A 25992-nucleotide genomic window follows, 5' to 3' on the forward strand; every position below is an offset into this window, starting at 1 on the left:
ACACATTACCCTAGGGCCACACAAGGTCAGGATAATATCACTGTCTTCCTCCTCCATATCTTGTCCCCATGGAAGTTTTTTGGGGGCAATACCACGCATGGAGCTGTCATCTCCTTTGTTAACAATGCATTCTTTTGAAATACCTCCTGAAGGATCTCCATGAGGCTGTTTTACAGTTAACTTATTAAAAATATAAGTAGAAGGAATACTCTATAAAATAACAATAAAAAGTATAGCATAACAGTACATATACCAGTAACATAGTTATTTATTTTCAAGTATTATGTACTGTACATAATTATATGTGCTCTACTTTTATACAACTGGCAGTGCAGTAGGTTTGTTTACATCAGCATCACCACAAACATGTGAGTAATGCATTGTGCTATCACATATGATGGCTACCATGTCACTAAGCAATAGGATTTTTCAGTTCCATTTTAATATTATGGGATCACTATCATTGTATATGCTGTCCATTGTTGACTGAAATGTTATATAGCACATGACCGTACATATATGACTCAGTGGCAAAGCCCTTCCCTAGGATAACATGAGGAATACAAAGGAAATCAAAGATTTAAATTTATTGTCACTCTTCTACTTTCTCTGGGGTCATTTACATAAGAAGAACAAGAAGACACAGCTGCTATTGCAAGGAGGCTTATTGCCATCTAATACTGCATGGGGCCCCCAGGGTCAGTGAAGTGTAGTTCACAATGCTAAGTTCTGAATAGGATTTTATCAAGCGGTCCTGACATAAACTTCACTTGCAGGAAACTACAAATATGCATCTCATAGGATATTTTGCTCCTTTTATCTACTGTGGTTTTTATTCCTTCAATTTTCATCATTTCTGGCTTTCACTTAATTCTGTCAAAAACTACACTCACCAAATCCTTGTGCCCTAAAAATTTTAAGAATAAAATATTGGGTGAAGGGGGCTGCTGGAAAAATGTCGGTCAAAGGGTACAAAGTTTGAGTTAGACAAAAGGAATACATTTTTTAAGACCTTCTGCATAGCATAGTAACTGTAGTTAATAAGGTGTATTTCAAAATTTCTGAGAGTAAAGTTCAAATAGTCTCACCCCAAAAAAATAAGTATTTGAGGTGATGGATATCTTAATGAGATAAATTTGATCATTCCACATTATGTACATATATCATAACATCACATTGTACCCATAAATATATGCAATTATCATTTGTCAACTAAAAGTAAAAATAATTTTTAAAATAAAATATTACTAATAAAAAGAATAACATATTGCTCTACAAGTATTTTCTCCTCAATTTGAAAGCTTTATGGATCCATCTTAGGTCAAAGAAATTTTACCAAAAAAAAATAAATTTCCTATTTGATAATAATAGCTATCATTTATCAAATGCTTAGAATATTTTGAGCATGCTGTTAAGCACTTTCTATATAGTACTTCATTTTATTCTCACTTCAACTGTATATAGCTCTATTATTATTATTCCCATTTTACAGATGAAATAAAAGTTCAAACAAGGCCTAAAATTACAAGCCATTTTTACAGATTATATTTAGGGGACCAAGGCTTAAGAATTCTGAAATTTACTATATTTATTTAGTCATTCTCATCTTTAGCATAAACCTAACAGAGTAGTTTTGTGGATCTGATTAGCAGTCAATTTATTTTTAGGTTTTTTGGCTCACAGTAAAAAAAAAAAAATGTAGATTTCCAGTAATACTAGCAGACCAAGCATGACACATTTTAGGCGTTTGCTTATTATTCATTTGTCATCTGTTCTTTCATTCAGCAAGTATAAATTATCAACTGCTGTGCTCAGAACTCTGGTGGACACAAAGAAATAAGAAGCTATTTCCCACAATCATCCAAGAAGATTTACAGAAATAACCCTTAGTTTTAGCTACTGGCATAGTTAGCATGTTGGATATTGGAGTAGATCATTTTTTAACATTCCTTTTTTATGTATAAAAAATTATTATCAGAAATAATCATGAAATGAGATAATAATAACAGCTAGAAAAGAAATGCAGGCAGTAAATATTTTCTTTAGTTGAAATTGTGCTGGTATACCAGTTTGAAAAAACAAATAATTTTTTAAAACTACAGATATTACAAGAAATGAAAAAAATGCATTGATTTTTAAAATTATATTAATAAATTATTTTATTTATACAAAAGTGAAAAGGTATACCTTCTTGTTGCTCTGTCACAGTAATCAATACTATCTCAGTTTGTTTTTAATTGTAAATCCTGCATATTTTTCAATGATGTTGTCTAAATTGATCTTCTTTAAATATTCATGTTCAGTAGAGAGTATAGCGAGATTTATCAATCTATTTTCCCCGAGAGTACTTCAAAGAGTTTGTTTTAATCAATTTACTTTCAAAATGTTTTCTTCACATGAAGCAACAGATATAAAAGTGGATAGGAAACGTCTTAAATATAAGTTTGGCAGAGATTTATGAAATCCCATTTCATAATTAAATGCTGTTCATGTCTTTGTTTCTGCAGATTGATTCTAACAGCTTTCAAATGTCTCTGTCATAAGAAAAAAATGCTACTAAAAAATCTTCATCAAAAAAGTCAGCATACATGTGTATTATACTTGGTAAACATTTCCAAAGTTTATAATTGTTCAGGATAATTTGAGTTTAAGTACAGTTTTTGCATTCTTTCCTTCAACATACTTTATTATTATTTTTTTTTTATTTTTTGAGATGGAGTCTTGCTCTATTGCCCAGGCTGGAGTACAGTGGTGCCATCTCAGCTCACTGCAACCTCTGTCTCCCAGGTCCAAGTGATTCTCTTGCCTCAGTCTCTGGAGTAGCTGGGACTACAGGTTCCCGCCATCACACCTGGCTAATTTTTGTGTTTTTAGTAGAGACAGGGTTTCACCATGTTGGCCAGGCTGCTCTCAAACCCCTGGCCTCAAGTGATCCACAGCCTGGGCCTCCCACAGTGCTGGGATTACAGATGTGAGCCACCGTGCCCGGCCAACATACTTTACGTAGCATATTTGTAACAAATGCTACCACAGTGACCAAAAAACAGAACTTGACCAACCACTTACTCTTGAAGCAAATGTATGTAGCTAAGTCTTCACATGTTGGGAGACTAGCCAATAATTGGAAACGCCCTGAAAGTTTCTCCCATGAAGAATACAATGTTTCTTAAAGAATAAGTCATATGTACATGTATGTATATGTTATATATGTGTGTGTATACTATATATCCATACATATTCTATATGAATATAGATAAGTAGATAATTTAAACTCAACAGCATCCACAGCAATTCTTTAGGAGTTAGACAAACACAGAACTTTTGAGGAGTATTTTATTGCTGATGTTGTTTAGAATTGCTGGCATGTGATGATAATAAAAAGGAGACCAGGGAGATCTTACCCCACTGCCCCACACATAGCTAATCACTGGTGTAAGTCACTGGAGTTTAGTCAATCAATTTATGCAAAATTATTTTTTAAAAGTATCTGCCAAAAAAAAAAAAAAAAAAGCAGTGGCTACCTAAATCCCTCCCACCTTTTATTTTCCCACACTATTACTCCAAGCTATTTGGAAATGACATACCTGGACTACCCATGGATTTTGCAGTTTGACAGATGTGGTTTTCAATCTTGGCTCTGCTACTTTCTAGCTGTATTACCTTAAAAAAGTTAGCTAACACCTCAGAGCTTCACTTTTAATTTCTCAAATGTGAACAATACTTACTAGAATGACATACATTTCATAAATAACAAATGAAAAGCACCTTCACATATCAAGTGCTTATTAAATGGTAACTATCATGATTATCCCTTAGCCATGGCCCTGACCTATCACCTGCTACAGACCCTTAACTATTTCAGGGTCTTTGGGCAGTAATTACCTGTGATAAAGGGTGGACTAAATGAAGACGTTAATTTTTTCCCTAAAAGATCGTGTTAAATTAGCGTGCAGTGTCTTCTGCACCACCAACTTAGCTTCTCATAAACTGTTTAAATAAATGATCTACACCTACTGCTCTCTCTATCACTACCCAGTGTTCATAAACTGCTCATTTTCTTCCATTCTTTTAAAGGTGGGGCTTAAATGTTACCAACAAAAAACATCAACACCATGGCCTTTGCTCACTCTCACAGAAACTTTTCACAAAATTCGGGAACTGCAAAATCCACTAGAAGGAAACTGGGGGATCAGCTAGAAGCCAATCCACTCACCTTGCAGAGAGAAAACTGATTATCGGTATGGTGAAGTGATTTGTTCTACCAGCTAGTGGCTGAGCAGGGACTCAGTCAGGCTGCCCAGAGCCACAGGTCTTCTGCCTCCACAGTAGCTCCTTGGGCTCCAGCTTCATTATTGGTCACTTCCTGCTCCGAAACTCTCCATTCTTTCTTCATTCTTCTGTAATTCCTCTCTCCCCTAATAATGCTGGGCATTTCCCTTGATTCATTTTTCAATCCTCCTCCCTTCTCCTTTTACATGCTTTTCCTTAAAATCGAATCCTTTTTCCACGTCGATTAGCACCTTTCTCAGTGTCTCCTAACTCTCACTTCAGTTCCACTCCTAGACTGTGAATAGCCTGCTAGAAATTTCTACCTGAACAGAATAATGACTTCAATGATTAATCTCAAATATTGGATACAAACTTAATTAGATAACCAATTAAATAAGGCCCAAGCCTTTAAAGGAAATTTAATGTTATTTGTTATTCAACAAATATTTATCTAGCACCTATTAGGTAGGAGGTACTGTGCAAAGTATTGGAGATACGATATGTACAAACCCAGTCTCCATTCTGTGAATACACAACATACATTCTAGTGGAGAGGGCAGACACTAAGCAGATTGTAAAAGTAAATGCATAGCTAAAAACCATGAAAAAGCCTTCAAACAAGTTACAGGTGCTATGAAATAACCACATTCTTACTTCCTGATGGGCCTGTGGGTGCCTGTTTGCTTACTCTTCCATTCATAGCAATTGAATGAATGGGAGGGTCACTGGGTATACCATAGGCATAAGGGAAGCCAAAATGTCTTTTTATAGATGAACCTCCAGTCTCATTGATCTCATTCAAGTGCAGTGGTCAGGAACATTACAATTATATGTACCATATGGTCTATTAGTAAAAAATATTAATATAAATTAAATGTGATGTTTCTTCTTTCATGATAAAGACATTTATATCACATAGTTTATATAGCCAAGTCATAATCAATAGTAAGGATAATAATTTTAATATAAAGAACTCAAAATCAAATGTGTTTTACTGCTTTTTTCCATCTTCAGATAAATGCATACTTTTTGGAAATAAACGTACAAAAAATTTTCAAAAAATTGTATAATAAACAGTTCAGTTAATTTACCGTTTTAAAATGCATCCACAGGCCAGACATGGTGGCTTATGCTTGTAATCCCAGCACTTTGGGAGGCTAAGGCGAGAGGATCACTTAAGCCCAGGAGTTCAAGAACAGTTTGGGCAACATAGTGGGACCCTGTTTCTACAATTTAAAAAAGAAAAATTTTTTTTTTAATTAGCTAGGCATGGTGGTGCACACCTGCAGTCCCAGCTACTTGAGAGGCTGAGGCACGAGGATCACTTTAGCCTAGGAAGTCAAGGTTGTAATGAGTCATGACCATGCTGCTGCACCCCAGCCTGGGTAACAGAATAAGACTTTGTCTTAAAATAAATAAATAAATAAATGAAAGAAAATGTACCTACAGTTTGAAACTATGAATAAACATTTATCAGAGTGTGGCTTATTTTAAAGTAAATATGCATATTTTATGAATTCTTTCCAACTATAACAATAATAAGCAATCTAAATATTTAATGTGAGAGTCTCTCTAATGTACATATAAGAATTGTAGTACAATTAATAAATGGCTGTGTTAAGAAAAATACAGCTGGGCTCACATGATCAGTGTCATTCTGTGCAAAGAATTTCTGTCTCAAACTCAACCTCATCAAGATAATATAATTACTTTCATTAGCAATGTAGAATAATAAAACTTGGAAGATATCTGGGTAAACATAAAGGACTGAAAAATTAATGTCTTCCCATCAAGCTTTAATTGTTCTTCACAGTTGTTATTTTTTGACAGATTTCCACTGACAAGACACAGAAAAGAAGTACCATCCATTCCCTTTGTGCCTATCCATGCCACACTAAGGCCATTTACACAGTGTCTCCTCAATGTCACTCTAATATCACCATCAGGTTTTCCCTGGAGCTTCATTTGTAATTGGTTAATTTGGGAAGTTTGTGTCTTCTCCCAAATAGAATCTGCTACAGTTTTTTCCCTAACTTTTTACTAAGGTGTAACATTCATACTGAAAACTACACAAATAATAATTTTCATAAATGAAACACATCCATGTAAGTAGAAGCCAGATCAAAGAAACAGAATGTTCGTTGCCAACACCCTAGAAGACCCTTTCATGTTCACTTTAAGTGGTTCCAAGGATAACCACTGTCCTACATTAGTGTTGCATACTCTGTTTTTTCTTCAGCTTATATAAATCTTTCACTTTTTACTATATTAGTGTTGTCTGTTGCTGAAACCTAAAAAAATGGAATCACACAATATATTTTTTGTCTGCCTCCTTCCATTCAAAATTGTGTTTGCGATATTTGCACACACTGTTGCATGTATTTTTGGTTCCTCTTTTCTCACTGCTGTATAGCATTCCACACAATTTACTTACCTATTCTACTGTTGATGAACATTTGGGTGGTATTTTTGTTTGAGGTTATTATGAATAGTGCCTCTAAGAACATGCTTGTACAGGTCTTTGATGACAATTGGGGTATGTATTTACTTCTGTTTGGCTTGGAATTTCTGGATATACCTATGTTCACCTTTAGTAGATACTACAAACAGTTTTTCAAGTTGTACCTCCTTTCAGTCCCATCGGCCATGTATGAGAGTTCCAATTGCTCTAAATCAATGGTTCTCAATTGGTCATAATTTCACAAATGTCCAGGAACATTTGGCAATGCCTGGGGACACTTTTGGTCTTTACAACTAAAAGGATGCTACTGGAATCTTGTGGGTAGAGACCAGTGATGTTGCTCAACATCTTACAATGAACAAAATGGCCCCAACAACACGCCTGTAATCCCAGCACTTTGGGAGACTGAGGTGAGCAGATCACAGGTCAGGAGTTCAAGACCAGCCTGGCCAACATAGTGAAACCCCGTCTCTACTAAAAATACAAAAATTAGCCAGGTGTGGTGGCATGTGCCTGTAATCCCAGCTACTCGGGAGGCTGAGGCAGGAGAATTGCTTGAACCTGGGAGGCAGAGATTGCAGTGAGCCAACACCGCACCATTGCACTCCAGCCTGGGCAATGGAGTGAGACTCCATCTCGAAAAAAAAAAAAAAAAGATTATCTATTCCAAAATGTTAAGTGTTGGAGTCGAGAAATTCTGCTTTAAACTCTCACCAACCTAGGTAAATTTTTGACTTCTATATTTAGCCATTTCAGAAAGCATATAAATGTATTGCACTGTGGTTTCAATTTGCACTTCCCTGACAACTAAATATAATCATTTTGAAGGCTGAGATTTGTTTCTTAGACAGCTATCCAAATTTTTAGTTTCCAGAAATGACTACTCCAAGATCCCACCCTAAACAGTAGACAGTTCTGTTTATTCATTCAATATCTGACTCTAGAGCATAGTTGCTGAAATCAAGTGGACCTCGCTTTGACTCCAAATTCTTCTACCCAGCAAAGTTATTTAAGCTCACTGAAATTCAGTTTCTTTATCCATAATATGGGGATACTAATGCCCATACTTCAGTATTACTGTTATAATTAGATATAATGTAGGTAAGATCCCTGGCATGTAGTGGATGCTCAATGGTTATTACTGCCATGGGCTATAAGAACAAGAGGCACAAATAAATTAGACTAGAAACAGCACGGGCTTGAGAGTTGATGTGTGTTCTAGTCCTGACTCTACCACTAACTAGCTGTGAGGACTTAGTCAAAATACTTAATGTCTTAGAGTTTTTCATTTATCTATGAAATAAGACAGTTACACTAGATACAAGGTTTTTCTAACTTGATTATTCTCTAATTCTATGGATATGACAGGGTCTTAGCCATCAAGTTTACACTAAGAAGGGGAAATAGGACATGCATTAAACAATGACACAAATTACTGAGAAATATACTCAGAAATTCAGAGCTACAAATAAAGTACTACTGCCATGCAAGTTCAAAGGAATAAAAGCTTATTTTGGTTGGAACAATCAGGGAGCCCTTCATAAAGACAGTGGCATTTGAATTAGGACTTGAAGCATGGACGAGGACAGAGACCAGTTCAGACAAAAGAGAGAGAAGCATAAAAGCAGACAAAGCAGAGTAGACAAAGGCTTAGGAAGGGAAGCGTAAGACAGGTCCTAGGAGCAATAAGTCACCCAGAATGACCGTAGCATAAGAGTTGTGAAAGGAGGAAAGAGATGGAATAGATGGAGAGTAGGTATAAAGTGCTTGCAATCTCAGAAGAATCCATGTTTCACTTGGTAGAAAATAAAGGGCCATGGCAAATTACAAATGAAAGGAGTGACATAACCATGACAAAGTTTAAAGACTAATCTGATAACTTGAGAACCAAGGAACTGTGGAAGAGGGGCTGAAGACTAGAAGATTAATTTTTAAATATCATTAAATTTTAAATGGGAGGCTAGAGGGCTTTGAAGTGGAGAAGCACAAAGAAAAGAGTAGAGAAAGAAATGTTCTAAGGACATAAATGAAAGGACTTGATAATTGTTTTGTTAAGAATGATAAGAAGTAGAGAAGCATGAAAAATAACAGACATTTGAAATCTAAATGACAAGAGGATTAAAAGTACAGGGAAGTGTTTTATGCTGTCCTTAATAGTTTTCAACAAAGAGGCTCAAAGCAGCTAGGCTAACCTGTTCCTCTAAGCAATATTTCTGAAACAACAATTTACTGAAAACTTTCATATGTTTATAGATATTTGGCACAAAGAAAGTTCCACTGTCAATTTAGGAAACACTAAATATCATATCTTTGCCTTAAATATTTACACTTAACATAAACGTTATAAAGTTCTGGGAAATCCTCTTGTAATCCTGTGTCTGTGTGTGTCTGTGTGTTTATGTTAGGGTGCACATATGTGTGTGTGATAAATCTATTAAATCTCATGGTGCACTAGTGTTACAAGGGACAAGGTTTGGAGAGATAAGCATGTGCTTCTGAACTTATTATTATTGTTATTATACATGCATTATAAATCTCTTTCAGAGAGATTAGTATTGGTAGTATTGGGTATCAGGAGGTCATCAGGTGGACATGTTTAAGAAATGTAAAGAAATGTGAATCGGCACTCAGAATAGAGTTGAGATCTGCACATGTAAATTTGAGGATCACCTAACAGAAGACAGTTGAGATTAAGAGAAGAGGTGTATTCACAAAGGACAGAAGAAGTTAATGGGAAGACATGGAAGCAGAGGACGATTCCTGGTCTACATTTTGAAGATAAATGAATGGAAGGAAGAGACTGAATTGTAACTAGATGGAGTAGATAAGAGGAAATTATTTTAGAATGAATAGAATGAACATCTGCAAGTAACTCAATAAGTTATGAAGATATCACCTAAGCATTCTAGTCTGAGTCTTAAATGTGGAATTCCAGACCCCCCCAGGGGTCTCATTCTTTAAGGGAAAACCCAGAAACAACATCTACCTAGGAGTCCTAAGGCCACTATCTGCTCAGATATAAACTCACAGATCTAAGGTGACCTTCAATGTCCTAATGTTTGTTTACAGAGGTAGGTAGAACTCCTCAGGATAGCATAGTAACTGGCATAAACACTTGTTTTCTGGATATGCAGCAAGTTGTTCTCACATAGAAAATATTAGGCATTCTGGTTTCTGTCAAGGGAGAAAGGATGAAAGAAAAGAGAGGGCAGTGGGAAGGGGCAGCATCAAATTGTTATCTAGACATCTAAATGAAGAAAAAAAAAGATTCAAGCGAAGGTCCTTCATTAGCTCAGTGTTGACATTGCTTCCATTAAATGGATGAGTGAGCTAAATTCCAACTGAGCTAGTAGAGAGAGTGGGAAATGATGTGTTGGTAGGCAGGAAGAAGGATAAAGCAGAACAAATTATCCAGATTAAACACACGGATCAAAATTTTTCAACTTTAGCAGCTCAAATTCTACATCAATTTGTCTAAAAACTGGTACAGAATAATTGAAAAGAAATTTTACATAATGTTTAGCTCAGTGGTCATTTGGTACAACTGTTCAGCTCCTTAGACTGGAGTCGGAAAGTATTTTCCATTTTTTAAGTAAGCACCAATTTGGGATAGATTATTATTGAAGTAAACATCATGAAATAATGGTTCTACCCTACAGATAGAAGCATTTTAAAAAAAATTCTGTCTTTACCACTCTGTACCACATAAAATATATTGCCTTCAATAAAGACTTTCTAAATATTTTATTCCTAAAAGAGAGAAAATAGCCTTCTGAGGGCTTTGTGTTGTTTGCCTAGCCAACTGTGGAATATGTTTTCTCTTCAGAAAATAAATTCTTGGTATGTTTCAGAAAATCACAATAAGTAAAATATTTTAAAATAACAAAACATGCAAGCTTCATAGCACCCAAGAATGGTCTCAAACACATTAAAATAAAACAATGAATTTTTAGCATTTTGGATACTAGGAAATTGATGGAAAACAATGTCTGAAAATATAGATTAATAGGATGGCTGTCAAATTATATTTTAATCATTTCTATTAATGAAATCATGAAATCCAGTTCTAGTCTTGTACAACCTAGAAGTCATATCCTTCAAGATCTACATCTTTCTGCTGTCTAGGAAAATGTTATTTATATTATGATAGCAACAAATCTCTTCTGTTTAGAAACACTTTCAAAGCAACTGCCTGAACTTTATTTTTTCCCTCCTGTCTTTACTTCTTCTAGAGACAGTTCTTTATGTTCTAAATTTTCTAGTAAGTGTATCATATGTGATATGTTAAATCTATATTTGTGCAGTCATCACAGTAAATCGTATGACACTGAAAACATATAATTTACTTATCTCAACTTTTTTTCTCTCTCCATGTCTAGAAAAGGAAACTTGCATGGAAATCATGGGTATTAAATAACTCTAAGTAGCTAAAAACAATGTTTAAGGACATTCAAATCACTTCCTTGGCTACTGAGAATGGGTTATACCTCAAAGAAGAACCATATGCCTGGCCTGGCATGCACACTAAGTTCTCCTAACATATTTGTCATAAAAACTAAATCTGTAATGGCAAGCCACACTTAATCTGCCTGTTCTTAATGTCAGTGTCCCGTGTCTCTTTCTCTAACTTCCTGTGACCATCTGAACTTCAATTTCTTCATCTATGAAATGGGGAGCTATATGGTTTCATTACAGGGCAAATGTGCAAGCAAATAGTATAACAGATGTATAAAATTAAAAAATATAAACTAAATATGGGATTCTACACACCTACAAATTATCATTATTCAACATGGCATTATTCGTAGATGTTTAACTGTCTATTTCTCACTAAGTGTGAATTTCAGGGCGATGATTTTTTAAAAATCTCTTCAGGATGAAGCAAGGGAAAAGACACAAAGGCAAGTTAAAATGCTGCCAAATGGGTGTACAGTGACACCTGGGTGTGATAATCCACACATAACTTCCATCTGTTATTTCTTAATTTACGCTCAGCTGTTTCAATAATGTGACATCGTTCATCCTCTCCCAATCTTTTCAAAATATTTCTTCTTCCTTTTTTTAAACTCACATCATCACAGTTATGTAATAAAACATTAACTATTCCTTCAACTAGGCAACATTTTTTTGCCTGACTTCTCTAAGAGGAGATGAAAAATGTTAACTATGGAGAAGTTTCTTGAGGACAGGCTATCTTCCAGAAAACATAAATAAGAAAAGAAATAATTAAAGGAGGAGAAAAGACTAGCTGAAGCACAGTGAATTTCAGAAAAATAAAGAAGGCATGTTTTGGAGAAATTTAGGAAAACTAAAATATGTTTCTTTGGAACACTACTTTCTGGGGATATTAATAAGCATTATACATAAATAGACTGTTTAGGAAAATATTAGAGTAAACGAGTTTTACTACAAAACTTCTAATATGCTTTGTAAATCTCTAAGAGGGAAATTAGTGTGACTGGAAGTAATTCCCAAACTCATTTGATGCTTTTGTTCAGAGTATCTCAGGGGAATGGTGACCTACGACCAAACAGTATTTTGGAAATGCTGAGCTCAAGATTCAGTTCATTGGATTTGTCAGTTTCAACATCATGCCACATGGGTGACAATACACAGTCACGCAATAGACACACACTGTATGGCCCTGGACTCTCTAGCCCAAACCAAACTGAGCCACGCATCCCTTCGCATGCAGATGCTCAGCACTTGGCTGGCCAATGAAGAATTCTCCCTATTCCTGAGACTTTCCCAAACACTTTATGCACTTTTAGATTCCCACGCCTTAGCTGATGTTATACCACTTTGCTAATGTTCCTTCCTTCTTCCAGTTGCCTGTCAGAATCCTATTCACCCTTCAGTGTTCACCTGCAAGTGTTTTCCCTTCTTCTGTCACTGTACTTTATGTGTGCTTCTCTTTAGGTCTGTGGTTTTCAAGTGTGGCTTAGGGAATTTAAGAAAAACACTGATTCCTGGGTTTTACCCAGAGATTTTGATATAGTAGGTCTGAAATACCACCTAATTTTTGGGATTTTTTAAAATTCCCCAGTGAGTGCAAGACACAGCCAATATTGAGAACTGTTGCTTTGAAGTTCATGGTAGTTTGTCTCTGTTCTATATCCTAAAAAAGCATTGAAGATTTTTTAGAGGAGACATTTATCCTTCTTCATATTCAGAAGTCCACTGTACCCAACAGAGATTTTTCATGAAAAATGAAAGAAAAAAATAGCTTATATTTCCAATTATGATGTTAATCTTATCAAAATGTTTTACAAATTATTTTGCCTTTCCATTCCTAGTGTAAATTATATCATCAAGGAAATGGGTCCCAAATCTAGCAATGAATCAGACAGCTTGTAGGAATACATCAAACCTTTCTACCCCCAGAGTTAACGAATCAAAATCTCTGGTTACAAATGCAGAAGTTTGTTGTGTTTTGTTTTTGTTTTTGTAAACTGCAAGTCTAATGTCAATTTAAAAAAAAATTCATTTTGTGAATCACTGTTTCAAAATAAACGTTATATAATTTGCAGGTATTACAAAAATATTTACCTATTATAGTGGTGTTTAGGAGGGTTCAAAATAGAAAACGTTATCATAAATCTATCCCATAAAAAAATTTTAAGATAATAAATTTAAGTCCCAAGAGAATACACATTATAGCTAGAACTCAAATTAGATTCAAATGCATAAGGAAGCTCTGTTTTATTATTACGATTTCCAAAGCCTCCTTTCCCTGTCATAGTTTTAGTGTATTTGGAATGGAATTGCCCAAAATTATGTAATTAATTATGTTCAGCTTCTATTAAAATAATTAATTTCATTAAGTCGGCTAGCATGACACTTGGTAAAAATCAATTATTGAAAAAGAACTGGGAAAATGTGGGCAGTCATTACGGGTGTAATAGCTCATGTTTTAGGGCAATTAGGTGAAACGTTTTTACTTTTTAACTTTTTAAAACTTCTTAAACCAGGAATCTCAGGCATGCTATAACCCTGGAGTCAGGTGAACCATGTTTGACCCTTGGGTCACATGAGAGTCATCTGGACTACACTGCTTCATTCATATATATTTTTTTCCTGTCCTCACTGGTCACTTAGACCACTTAACAACATGAAATGAAGATCAAACTATGTGCTTTTTCTTCAACAGCGGAATGAACTGCAGATGGAGTAAGGGAAAGAAGAATCAAAAAAAGCATAAGCGTTTTAAGAGCAGAATAATCGCATTAACTGATCCAAATGCAAATGCTTCCTCATATCTACACCCTTTGGTTATGCCCTCGCACACCAACACTGGGCTTGGCCACGTGGCTTTTTTATTGTTTTTTAAATGGGACAGTAACAACTTAACTCAATCAAACTTAATCACAACCTTGAAAAAGTTTGTGAGTTTCCTCTTCCTCTTAAGCCGGCCCACAGAAAACCCACCATCTGGCCACAGATGCATGGAAAAGACCCACTGATATCAACCAAGCCTGGCACAAATCAGCAGAAACATTCAGCTGACCCACGGGCGCAGATCATTTTAAGCCACTATGCTTTGGGAAGATTTACAAACTGCAATCGCTGATACAATTGTCTTCAATGTTTAAAGAGCTAAACTATGCAAGAGAAAGTTTAAATCCTTCCTGTTCCAGTTCCACTAAAAGAGAAAAAAAAAAAAACATTGTACTGATAGGAAGACAGATTTCATTTTAAGAAAGTATTTTCTAACAAGTTAAGTTCAAATTTGAAATGCCTATAGGCAATGAATTTCCTGACACTGGAATAATTCAAGTTGGTGCTAACACAAATGCATTTTATTCATTCAAGGATTATATACTTCATCTATTCTTTTAATGCTACAAAATTATATACAAGTTATCAGTACAGTTATGCTGTAGAGTATATTGATTTTCTCATTCTTTTTTTCTTTTCTTTTTTTTTTTTTTTTTGAGATAGAGTCTCACTCTGTCGCCCAGGCTGGAGTGCAGTGGCACGATCTTGGCTCACTGCAACCCCCACCTCCTGGATTCAAGCAATTCTCCTGCCTTAGCCTCCCGAGTAGCTAGGACTACAGGCGTGTGCCACCACATCCGGCTAATTTGATTTTCTCATTCTTTAATAAGGATTAGAAACAAGAACCAAGTACTCATCCTCCTAGTATACCTCTTGGATGTAACTGCCAGAATTTTCAGCTAAGCTCTACTGGCCATTTGTTCACCCCAACAATAGAGAGAAGACGACTGTGTGGACCTAACAAAACAAACTTTTCATTCTATCATTCATTCATTCATTTCAAGGGGCACCAGCTAGCAGTCTGCAGCTAGATCCTGTTTAGTGTTTTAGTGTTTTTTAAAATGTCAAACTACATGCCTTTTGTTTCGCACCTACTACGTTCCCACCATATCCTACTTCACATATTTACAATACCAGTGTGGTCCCTGTAGGTATTTAAGTTGAAGACTTGGGTGAATTCTTACTTATAAAATACATTCTACTAAAAGTTATGAGAAATACAAAGATGAATTCAGTATTGATTCTAGCCTCAGGGATCTTATAGTTTCGTAGGGGAGCTGATACCCTTACTTAATTAATTATAATAGAATTATAATAATTATAATAGAAGTATAATATAATTAATACTAATTAATTACTTAAGTATAATAGAATGAGAGAGATGCACAGCAGAAGAGGTGCAGATAAAATGCCACTGTGCTGTTAGAAATAATAATTGGATGCAGCTGGACTGAGCAGTAAATGCCTAATGGGTCCAAAAATTAGCAAGAGTCTCTTTTTTTCTGTTTTCTGTTTTGTTTTGTTTTTTTCACAGAAACATCACTATTAGAATAGATATGTCTTTGGCATCTCTGTTAGTGATCTCTAACAAACAGGTGGGCCCAGATCATCACATATCCCTATTTTCATCCAAATTTAATTTAATGATATAACTTAAAAGTGACTTGACCTGGTGGGGATTTTCTTTTCCTACCTCAGTTGGAACTGACATAACTGCCACTTTTATATGACAAAGATACAGCCCTACTGTTTTTCATTACCATTGGTTTCTAATCAATTTGTTCCAGGCTCTTTGATCCTTAAAAAAGTCAAATTAAGTATTAATATTTTAAAGCTGAAGTGATGGTTTTCATAATAAAAGCACATAACTTTTCAAGCCTATAAGCAGCTGGTTAATACATATACAATTAATATTTAAATATCTGTTTTGGTTTAATGTAAAAACTCTTCAAAAATAATATCCTAAAATCCTAAAGGCTGGAGACACCAAAACACTAAACGTGGATACCAACTTGACTCAGAACTAATGCTTCTACATAACAAAACGTAAGACTTCAGTGCAGCTGGCTTGGATATTACAAAGATAATAAATCTGGAAGTATTATCATCTATTACTTCAAATGCACTGGAACTTGCCCCGTACATTTCCAGCAGCTCCAACTCAGGAAATGTTGAATTTTCCTCAATTATAGCTTGTGTCCAAGTGGCCGTAATCAAATACATAAATAAACTGAAGCTTTCCCATGAGAACTAACTGTCAAAACTACATTATGTCCAGTCACAGAACTGAGAAGACTAGGTTCAAAAATACTGCAGACTTCTTTAAATTTATTCCATCTCTACATACCTACAGGTCGTCTTTTAAACAAGTATCCATCAGTATGACTGTTTCTTCTTTTCATTGCTTTTTACCTAAACACTATGTGAAGTAGTCTGACTACTATAAATGTAAAATTTTCCAGATGGCATAAAATCACTAACAATCCCAGTAGATTGTTTTACCTGCATAATCTTAATTTTCCTTATTTTGATCATTCCAAATCTTTGAAAAGCCATTTCTAAATCTTACCAATGTCTAAGATAAATGTACATGTCATCAAGCTGCTCTAGCTGAGAAAACGACATTTGTGTAGCTCCTGAGTGGAAGACACCTCCCCACATTTTAATCGTACCCTGTTCCTGACTCTATACCCAAAATTATTAATTGTAGATTTAATACTGCCTCATGGAGTTATCCAAAAGATTACATGCATATAGCTTGCCTAAAAATACACCAAGTTTTCTATGAATTTTCCCTCTTGGTGTTAATATCAACACTTGCTACTGCTGCTGATAATTATGATGCTAGTTTATTGGAGATAATTTAAGTTGTGCTGACTGTGGGTGAAATAATACCAGCAGGAATAAATGCCTGGCATTAAATTTACCTCCTGCTATTAAAATGTATAACAAATCATAGTTTATCTATTAGTGATGACCTCTTAAAAATTAGAGCTACTTTTATCACAACTGGAAAAATAACAAGGCACTGTAATGTCTGAAATTTTCTTTCATGGTAAACATTATCTGCCTTACACTCAAATGTGTTTATTTGTTTTCCTTTGATCTTGGTAATACATTTCAAAAATCAGTAAGTTACTAACAGCAATAGGTATTAACCATACCCATTAGGTCCACAAACAAAATTAGGATGTGCTTTTCTTTTTCTAGGCTTTCCTATTTCATCCCACTGCTTTCTCCATTATTAAATGAAGAAAATATGCCTGCCAAATACACACTCAGAACTCCTCTGCTAACAGATACTTGCGAAAATAAAGCTTCTGAGAAGACGTAAAGAGAAGAAACAGCGTGATCTGAATGCTGTGAAGATCCCAATATGATGTTCACTAGTCTTGAAACCTGGCTGCCTTTAGTGTCTTCGATCCTGGATGTACAGACTTGTTCTCAATTACAGGCCTAATAAGGAACTATTTGCATGATTTTGTTTGTGGCTTTTTAGTTTTATTTCTAATGGAAAATTACCACAAAAGTGACCTAATCACTTCTGAACCATGAAAGAGCTTCAAAAAGTTGTCAGTTCCAAAGAACACTAAAGTTTAACATATAAGAATCATTTCAATTTACTTTTTAAATTCATTTTTTCACTGCCTACTTCTGGAAAGAATTTGGAGAGACAAATGGGGAAAATGCACATATAATAGAATTTGATAAAACAAAATATCAAGTAAGAGAAAATAATTGTAACAAAAGCCCAGGCTTAAATGGTTTGAGGCAGTGAAATTCAGAAAAATACTTTTACTGGTGCAATTTTACTAGAAGAAACAGATTTTTCTTGGCCTCATAGTCTAAGGTTGATTTATCACAAGGGAATATAGAAAGTTTACTAAGCAAGATGAGTATGCAATAAGGTGGAAATGTCTTCAACAATTATTTTACTAAAGTTATATAAAGATCCTTCATTTGAATATGTTACATCATTTAATATTAAAACACAAATTAATGAATATAGTCATATAAAGAGACAAATTATTATAATTACCAGAGATAAAGATCTCTGGGAATATAGAAACAAAGGTTTTCAAAAGCCTAAAGGAATGTATCTATGTGAGGTCTCATATATGAAGTGTTGATTCACATCTTGGATTTTAAAGATATATGTACAGTAATTTGTTACATGCTGAGGACCTTAGTATTATTGATTGAAAATATATTAATATAGTTTTGTGATTGTGTTTTCTTTCCAGAAAATTATAAAACTCAAAGTATTTCTCCTGAGGAAAAGGAGCATCGTGTTTTCTCAACACCAGTCTGAGCTGGAAGAGCCTGTGCAGGCAGAATCACAGCGTGCCCAAAAGGCACTCACCATGCACATATGCTCAGGGCTGGATAGTCTCATTGATGCCACACTTCCACATGATAGCCATAAAGGAGATAATATAAACTCCTGCCTTGGCCATAAAAGAAACTTAGCCTTTCTTCCTTCCCTCATTGACATGATATGAAAATATATACCTAAAATTTCCAAGGAAATTTTTTAAAAAATAGATTTGATAACCTCATGATACGAAAATATATACCTAAAATTTCCAAGGAAATTTTTTAAAAAATAGATTTGATAACCTAACTACAGGAAATGATTTGGAATCTTTACTGTAGGAGCCCCAGACATTCTTAGAGGCAGGATCTAAATGATACGTAAGATTCCTCCCAAGCCTCCTAATATCGTAGCCAGCTACAAAATTTCAACGTTCACCATCTACTCCAAAACCTCTCAGTAACTTTTTCCACTTGATGGATGACTTTTACTTTCTGAAACTTAGGATGACTGTGCTGATGAAAAACTGATTTTAATTAAATCTTGAAAATTAAATTGGAAAAAAAGCTCTTGCTCTCATATCTTTCAGGTCACTTAGGTGTTTAGAATGAGTCATTCCTGAAATCTGTCTCTTCCATTTCAATCTCCCAGGATGTTATCACCTCCTTTATGGCACCCATTGCCTGCCTGTAGCACATTTATCTAGGTATATCCTCAATGATATGTCACGTGAGGGCACATAAGTATTTTTCTCCCCATATCTGAACTCTCAAGCACCATGAACTCAGAAGTGGACACTTGTAGTCAATCAGTGAAGGCCAGGTGACTAGAATTAAAGCTGGAGCTTCAATTATAGGGGAAATTAGCCTGTATATAGAAATTTGAAACTATGTCAATGAGCCAAATATTTCAAAAAAAAAAATCCTGGATTAACCTTTTTTTTTTTTTTTTTGATGGGGTCTCACTCTATAGCCCAACCTGGAGTGCAGTGGCGCAATTTCAGCTCACTGCGACCTCCGCCTCCAGAGCTCAAGCGATTCTCATGCCTCAGCCTCCCAAGTAGCTGGGACTACAGGTGCACACCACCACACCTGGCTAATTTTTTGTATTTTAGTAGAGACAGGGTTTCACCATGTTGCCCAGGGTAGTCTCAAACTCCTGAACTCAGGCGATCCACTCACCTTGGCCTCCCAAAGTGCTGGGATTACAGGCATGAGCCACGGCACCCGGCCAAATATTTCTTAATGACTGAAATTTTAAATGAATTACTTTTAAACAGCCAAGATACTATTTTCATAAAATGTCCATTAAGCTTATAACTGGCCCCACTAGCACACAAAACACACTGGTACAGATTTGCCTGTCAAGTGGATTGAGATCCAGTGTGCAAGGCCCCTAGGAAGTGGGGTGCAGTTACAAGTACATACTGAGAAGGAAAGGTCTAGTACATGGGTCTCTGAAAAGTCAGGCTTGAGAAAGATGTCTCAATGTGAGATGCCAGACAGCCTAGGGAAAGCCTAAGAGAACAAGGTGCCTAAGAAAGGAGGCTGACGAAGAAAACGAAGTGAGGCATGAGATAAGAAGCAATGCATCAAAAGCAAGCTTAACCCACTGCCAGCTTCCCTAAAAGTACAACTAGCTATCGGGAAGTCTGTGTTATGGAAATCAGCCCCAAACTTTCTCTGTGCAATTAAGCCTAGTTATTTGAATCTTTTAAGATATTCTCCATCTCCCTTTTCCCTAATCACAATCATAACCTGGTAAAAGCAATGCCAACTGTCAATGTGCCAGATGACCAATAAATCCTGCTCTCACATACAGCTTTAATCTGTTATCAGTCAAAGACCCATTTCTAGACCTACTTGTAACAACTCCCTGGTGAAAGTATGAGAGCACCAGGATCATGAAGCAAATCACTTGAATTTAACAAATTTTATTCTAATTATCTGGGCAAAGAATCTCAGCTTCCACAAAGTTCTATTTTTTACATAAATAAGCACAGAAGTGCAGTTAAGTTGCAATCCACCTTCCCCATAGCACCTAAGCATATAATTAATTAATTAGGAAGAAATGAGGATTTGGCATAAATCAGTGGTGAAAACCACCTGCTTCAATCCCCACAGCTCTCCAAAGGGGTAATACAATAAAGATGATGGCTAGGTGGATCTGATTTTATCCAACACAACCTTGCCTTTCCAAACTGCTGTGGGTGCCCTCTGTGAGTTGTGCCTCACTGGTGTTGAGTTTAGAATCATCTGGGCAACTATCATACCTTTTTGAAGTCGCACGTGCACTTGGGAGAATATAGATACTACATACAATTGGAAGAACTTTTTAGGAAATATGGTAGGTGAATATATTTTGGGGGTCATTTTAGATTTTTGGTTATTTACCAACATCATTGCATAAGACACAAAAACATATTTAAGTAGAGGGGGATAGTAATATTAAATCCATATATATGAATTTAAATATAATTTATGTTCAAAGGAAGACTTTAAAACAGATTCAAGCTAACATCTTGTTTTAAGCATTACAAAGGTATAATGTTGCTATTAATAATTCAGTAATGATGTTTAATCAGTAAAAATGGCCACATTTTATATAATTATATTCCTCGAGGTCTACTCATTCATTATGTAGAAACCACAGAGAAATTTTGCTCATACGTTTTATCATCCTGTATTTAATTCCAGACAAAAACCAGTGGTTGCAACTTGACCTTAACATTGCTAACATGTAGTATCTCTGCTTTATCTAGAATATTATTTTGTGGAAAGACAAAACTGATATATAACTGACTTTCTTAAAAATCTTCTGTTTTGAGGGGCAAAAATAGGGTTCAATTTCTAGATACTTTTAAATTATTTTTTATTTTAAATTCTAAAGTACATAATAGGTAACTAAAGAATCCAGAATTAAAGAGTCAATGAAGAAACAGCTGCTTTCTTAAAGAAAGGGTGTACCTCCCTCCAAAATTAAACTTTAGCTCAATCCATTATACTGTATCTACATTTTGCCTGGTCACAGATTCCACCACAGTGTAAAATTTTTCCTATCACCCTGTTGTTTCTTTAACTGCTGGTCTGATATTCCTGAGCGAGCTGTAAAATGTGCACTCTAGTAAAGTAGCTATCAAGTTCAAATTTATCTCCCGACACTTCACTCCAGAAAGGTGTAGTATTCACAGCACTGAAACACTGCCCTTGCCTGTAATCAGTTGAAAGAACTAAGCACAACGTTTCCTATTTAGAGGGCTGTGCAACAGCCTACAGAAACAGCTAGAGATTGCATAACGTTTCCAAAGTTTTTCCAGTACTATGTCACTTATGTGTTTGAATAGTTAAGATTTTGTAAAATGTATTTTCAGGAGTTGATAAGAGTTTGTGCACAAAGTTTCAGAAAACAGAAAACAAAAAGGCTCCCTCAGTATGCCTGAAGTTAAACTTTAAGCACTCTTGATTGCTCTGCTGTAGCTTAGTGGCAGAATCCCCAAATTAAGGATGAAGGGAGAAACTATTGTTCCTGACAGCCCTAGAGCCACCTGCGATGTAGCATTACTTACCTAAAGATGGGTCTTTGGAGATGTTTCTTCCTGATTGTGACATGGTCATCCATTTAAAGGTGAAGGTTTAACTTCTTCCTGGAAACCACTCCAGAAACTCCAGAGAGGAAATGTGGAAGCTTATCCTGATCTATTGTGCTGCAAGGAGCCCAGAAAGAAAAAGTAGTTTCCTCTTTCTCTTTTTGGGTGCTGGGAGAAAACTTCCCTGTTCTCTGCCAGCTGAGCAGTGTGTCCATAGAGGCCACATAAGACAGGCACGTTGGGGCACTCCCCCACAGAGCAGGGTGTGCAAAAACCACCAAGAGTCACGTTGATCCAGGCAAGAGAAGTGCACGGGACCCTCCGAAACAGAACAAAACAAACAGAAAACTTCCTACCCCAGTGTCATCCAGGTAGGAACTCCCTAAGTTATTGCAGCCATGAGAGCTCTCCTTCCACATGCTGGTCAAGCTCCGAAAGGCTAAGTCCCTCCCTGTCTTTAAAACAGACTGTTCTGAGGCTCAACTTTTTTTCTTCAAAATAAAAGTTGTACAGCTGGTTCAGCAGCCCCATGTGAGTACCCTCTGAAAGTTTGTTCTCTTAAAATAAGAACTGTATACAAATTAATGAAGAAAGATAGGCTCGGGTTGCATGGCTGGCTCTGCTTCAGATTATAATTATTTTACAATCTTGCTTGTATTCATGCTGGCTGAAGTGTGGAGACGACTCATCATTTTTAGCACTTATAATCTAATAACCTCCTCTTGGCTGAAGTTGAAGATGCCATATCAACTGATAGAAGCCCATGCGAAGCTGACCAGAGCTACAAAAGTTAGAAAAACAAAAATTGCTAATTTCTACTGGTGACATTATACCCAGATGTCTGTACCCAAATGTGGTTTCCAACTAAGAGGAAACATCTCTTGCAAAAAAGAGATGGAAACACACACACACATCCACATGCTTTTTTTTAACAAAAAGCCCCTCCAAAGTGCCTGGGAGCCTATGGTTTATATATTATGTGATGAAATTTGGATTTATAAAAGTAAAAGGAAAGAAAAGAAGGTATAAAAGAATTTGTGAACAGCTGAAAATAAATGATATTAAAAATTGTTTTCTTTTAGAAGACAGATTTACACTGCGGGAACTCTTATTCTAGCTCCAGATAAAGGGAATGCTCGTATTTTAATGTAACTTATTTTGGAGACCTTCCTGTATCTGAATCACTAACAAAGTTCCTATTCAGTCAATAATGTCATAAGATTCCAGGTCAGAGATTTGTAATAAACTAAATCATTTCAAAGCATGATTAGAATGTTTTTAATATATACATGTAATAAAAAGGGAAAAATGAGTAACGTGCATGCCTTTAGTTGAATGATCCATAAAAATAAAGATCAAATGTCACAAAGGAGGATACTATCTGTAGTTATTGGCACTCTCCAAATACTTCCAGGGAGAAAGATCACCTTTTTATTTTCCTCCCTGAGGAGAGATAAGGAAGGAGAAGAGAGTTATAAGGGAATCATGGATTTTATCGAGCCGTTCTAATCCAAACTAGGAAATGTAATCATTATGAGAGCATTGAACTAAAAATAAAATAAATGGGTTCTAGTCCTAGTTCTATTGCAAATATGCCGGGCCACTGTGGGCAAATTTCTTGACCTGTCTGAGACCATTTTCTTGTTTGTAAAATGAAATTATAATATTAATTGAATTCTATATTTCTTTCCAGCTTTAATGGTACTATCATGTTATTTCTAAATCTGATTCGCCTGCTTCTTGCAAAGAAACTGCCATAGAAGTTATGATGCCTGATACTTCAAAAACTACACACTTATTATGTACTGTTATAAATAAATAAGGAAGCTATAAATAAAAAGATGATTTTATATTATGTATAACATATTTATATAGATATTACATAGTTATGTAGTGACATCTATGTCACTGTTCTCTTTATGATCAATAAGTACCAATGATAAATTCACATGTGTGCTATACAGCAGTTAAATATACTGACCATGTATAAACAAACTTAGATACAGATCTTTGAAGCAGATGCTTTATTATTACCATATGCTTTGGCTTTCTTTGTATTTAGGAAAGCACATAAGAAATAACACATTGTACAGGTCTTCTGGGAGGGATTTTGCGTTTGTGGGTAGCATTCAATTTCTGTAGTCATGGTTTACCTATATTACCATTAATATAGCATAAATCTTCCTCCTGAGGGAAAATTCAAGAAAATAATAAGCCCATCAACTTTTAAAAATTAACTTTCATTTTGTCTTCTTTTGAATTGGAAATGTGAGACAATTTCTACATGAACACAATGGAGGGAACTCAACATAAATACTAATAAACATCTAGCCAAGGTACAGTTCAAACGGCAAGCAAGTATGAAATATAGCTTGAAGTCCAAAGGCTTGATTACCAGCTGAAGAATCTGAAAGTTGTTAATCATAGGAAATCCATAACATACTTCATTACCTTAGGTTTATATTCTTTTTTCTTTCTGTGATTAAGTTAGAAAGTTTAGATTCACTTTATGGAAAGCACTATATTTAAAACCAATCTGAGACCCTATAAAGCATTCAGATGATACCAGTAAATTAAATATTCACTGGGCACAAAGAAAAATATATATTTCTTAAATGTTTTTATTAGCTTTTTCTCAAAGAACATTTAAATTTAACATTGGAAAAAAGTTGGCTTTATCACCTTATTCAACTTTAATGTAGTATTCAATAAGACAAAGATTTCATGATTATTAATTAAATTACTAAAATATATTCCTTACATTAACACAACTGTAGTGTGCAAAATACTAAAATATATGGCATAAATAAAAAGGCCAAGTCTTCTATACAATAGACTATAATTTATTATGAATAGTTTTTTTCCTGAGGGGGGTCAGAAAGGGTGTTTTTATTTTTCCTGTTGTGGAAAAACAAAGTCAGGCTGACTTAGTCTAACACGTTCACACACATACCCTACCCGACTCAGTGCTGTTAGAAATCGTCCTAACTGGTGCTCAATAAATATGTTAATTTTCTAAAACACAAATCAGCTGAAACACACCAAGAATTCCATCTAACCAACTCATTTTGTGTGACAAAACACATAGATCAACCCATGTGACTTTTCCAACCAAAAGTACCCTAAGAGTGTCATGGTATTTTCCATTAAGCATCATGGAGAAAAGGTAAGCTTTTCTTTTCCTGATTTTCTTCATTGTTATAGTCTGGCTGTGTTTGTAATACACAAGTGCCAAAGCATGCAATGGCAAAAAGGTCATTTGATATTATGCCATCCCAAGCACTGGAAAATGCATGGGTCTGCAGGTTCTCAGTTTAAGCACGTAAGTCTAGTCAAATAGGACGTGAGACCACATGTGTGTTCTTTTTGTTAAACAACATTTAATTAAACACAGTGTTACAAGTTATATATTTTAATGAGCTTCAAGTTAAGTGCAGGAGGGAAACGAAACTGCAAGAAAGAAAGGATTAGATGGCATTTTAGGTTTTACCATGACACATATATGATATTATCTCAATTTAAAAAAGAGCTTCTGCACAGCAAAAGAAACTACCATCAGAGTGAACAGGCAACCTACAACATGGGAGAAAATTTTCGCAACCTACTCATCTGACAAAGGGCTAATATCCAGAATCTACAATGAACTCAAACAAATTTACAAGAAAAAAACAAACAACCCCATCAAAAAGTGGGCGAAGGACATGAACAGACACTTCTCAAAAGAAGACATTTATGCAGCCAAAAAACACATGAAGAAATGCTCATCATCACTGGCCATCAGAGAAATGCAAATCAAAACCACTATGAGATATCATCTCACACCAGTTAGAATGGCAATCATTAAAAAGTCAGGAAACAACAGGTGCTGGAGAGGATGTGGAGAAATAGGAACACTTTTACACTGTTGGTGGGACTGTAAACTAGTTCAACCATTGTGGAAGTCAGTGTGGTGATTCCTCAGGGATCTAGAACTAGAAATACCATTTGACCCAGCCATCCCATTACTGGGTATATACCCAAAGGACTATAAATCATGCTGCTATAAAGACACATGCACACGTATGTTTATTGCGGCACTATTCA

The 25992-nt window shown here is 35.4% G+C and overlaps 1 protein-coding gene across 22 annotated transcripts in view; it reads right to left on the reverse strand.

Moving 5' to 3' along the window:
* PDE1A (phosphodiesterase 1A) overlaps positions 1-25992 on the reverse strand; it is a 576757-nt gene that overhangs the window by 264649 nt on the left and 286116 nt on the right. For 5 of the 22 annotated variants that reach the window (NM_001363871.4, NM_001258313.3, XM_011511325.4 and 2 more), the window contains exon 1: positions 21889-22347. The exons of the other annotated variants lie outside the window; for them this stretch is intronic. In NM_001363871.4, the coding sequence (NP_001350800.1) occupies positions 21889-21941 (53 nt within the window). In that variant the 5' untranslated portion in view covers positions 21942-22347. Of the gene's footprint in view, positions 1-21888; positions 22348-25992 lie in introns of those variants that run through there. 22 annotated transcript variants of the gene reach the window in all.

Source organism: Homo sapiens, chromosome 2 (genome assembly GCF_000001405.40).
Source record: "Homo sapiens chromosome 2, GRCh38.p14 Primary Assembly".
Lineage (NCBI taxonomy): Eukaryota > Metazoa > Chordata > Mammalia > Primates > Hominidae > Homo > Homo sapiens.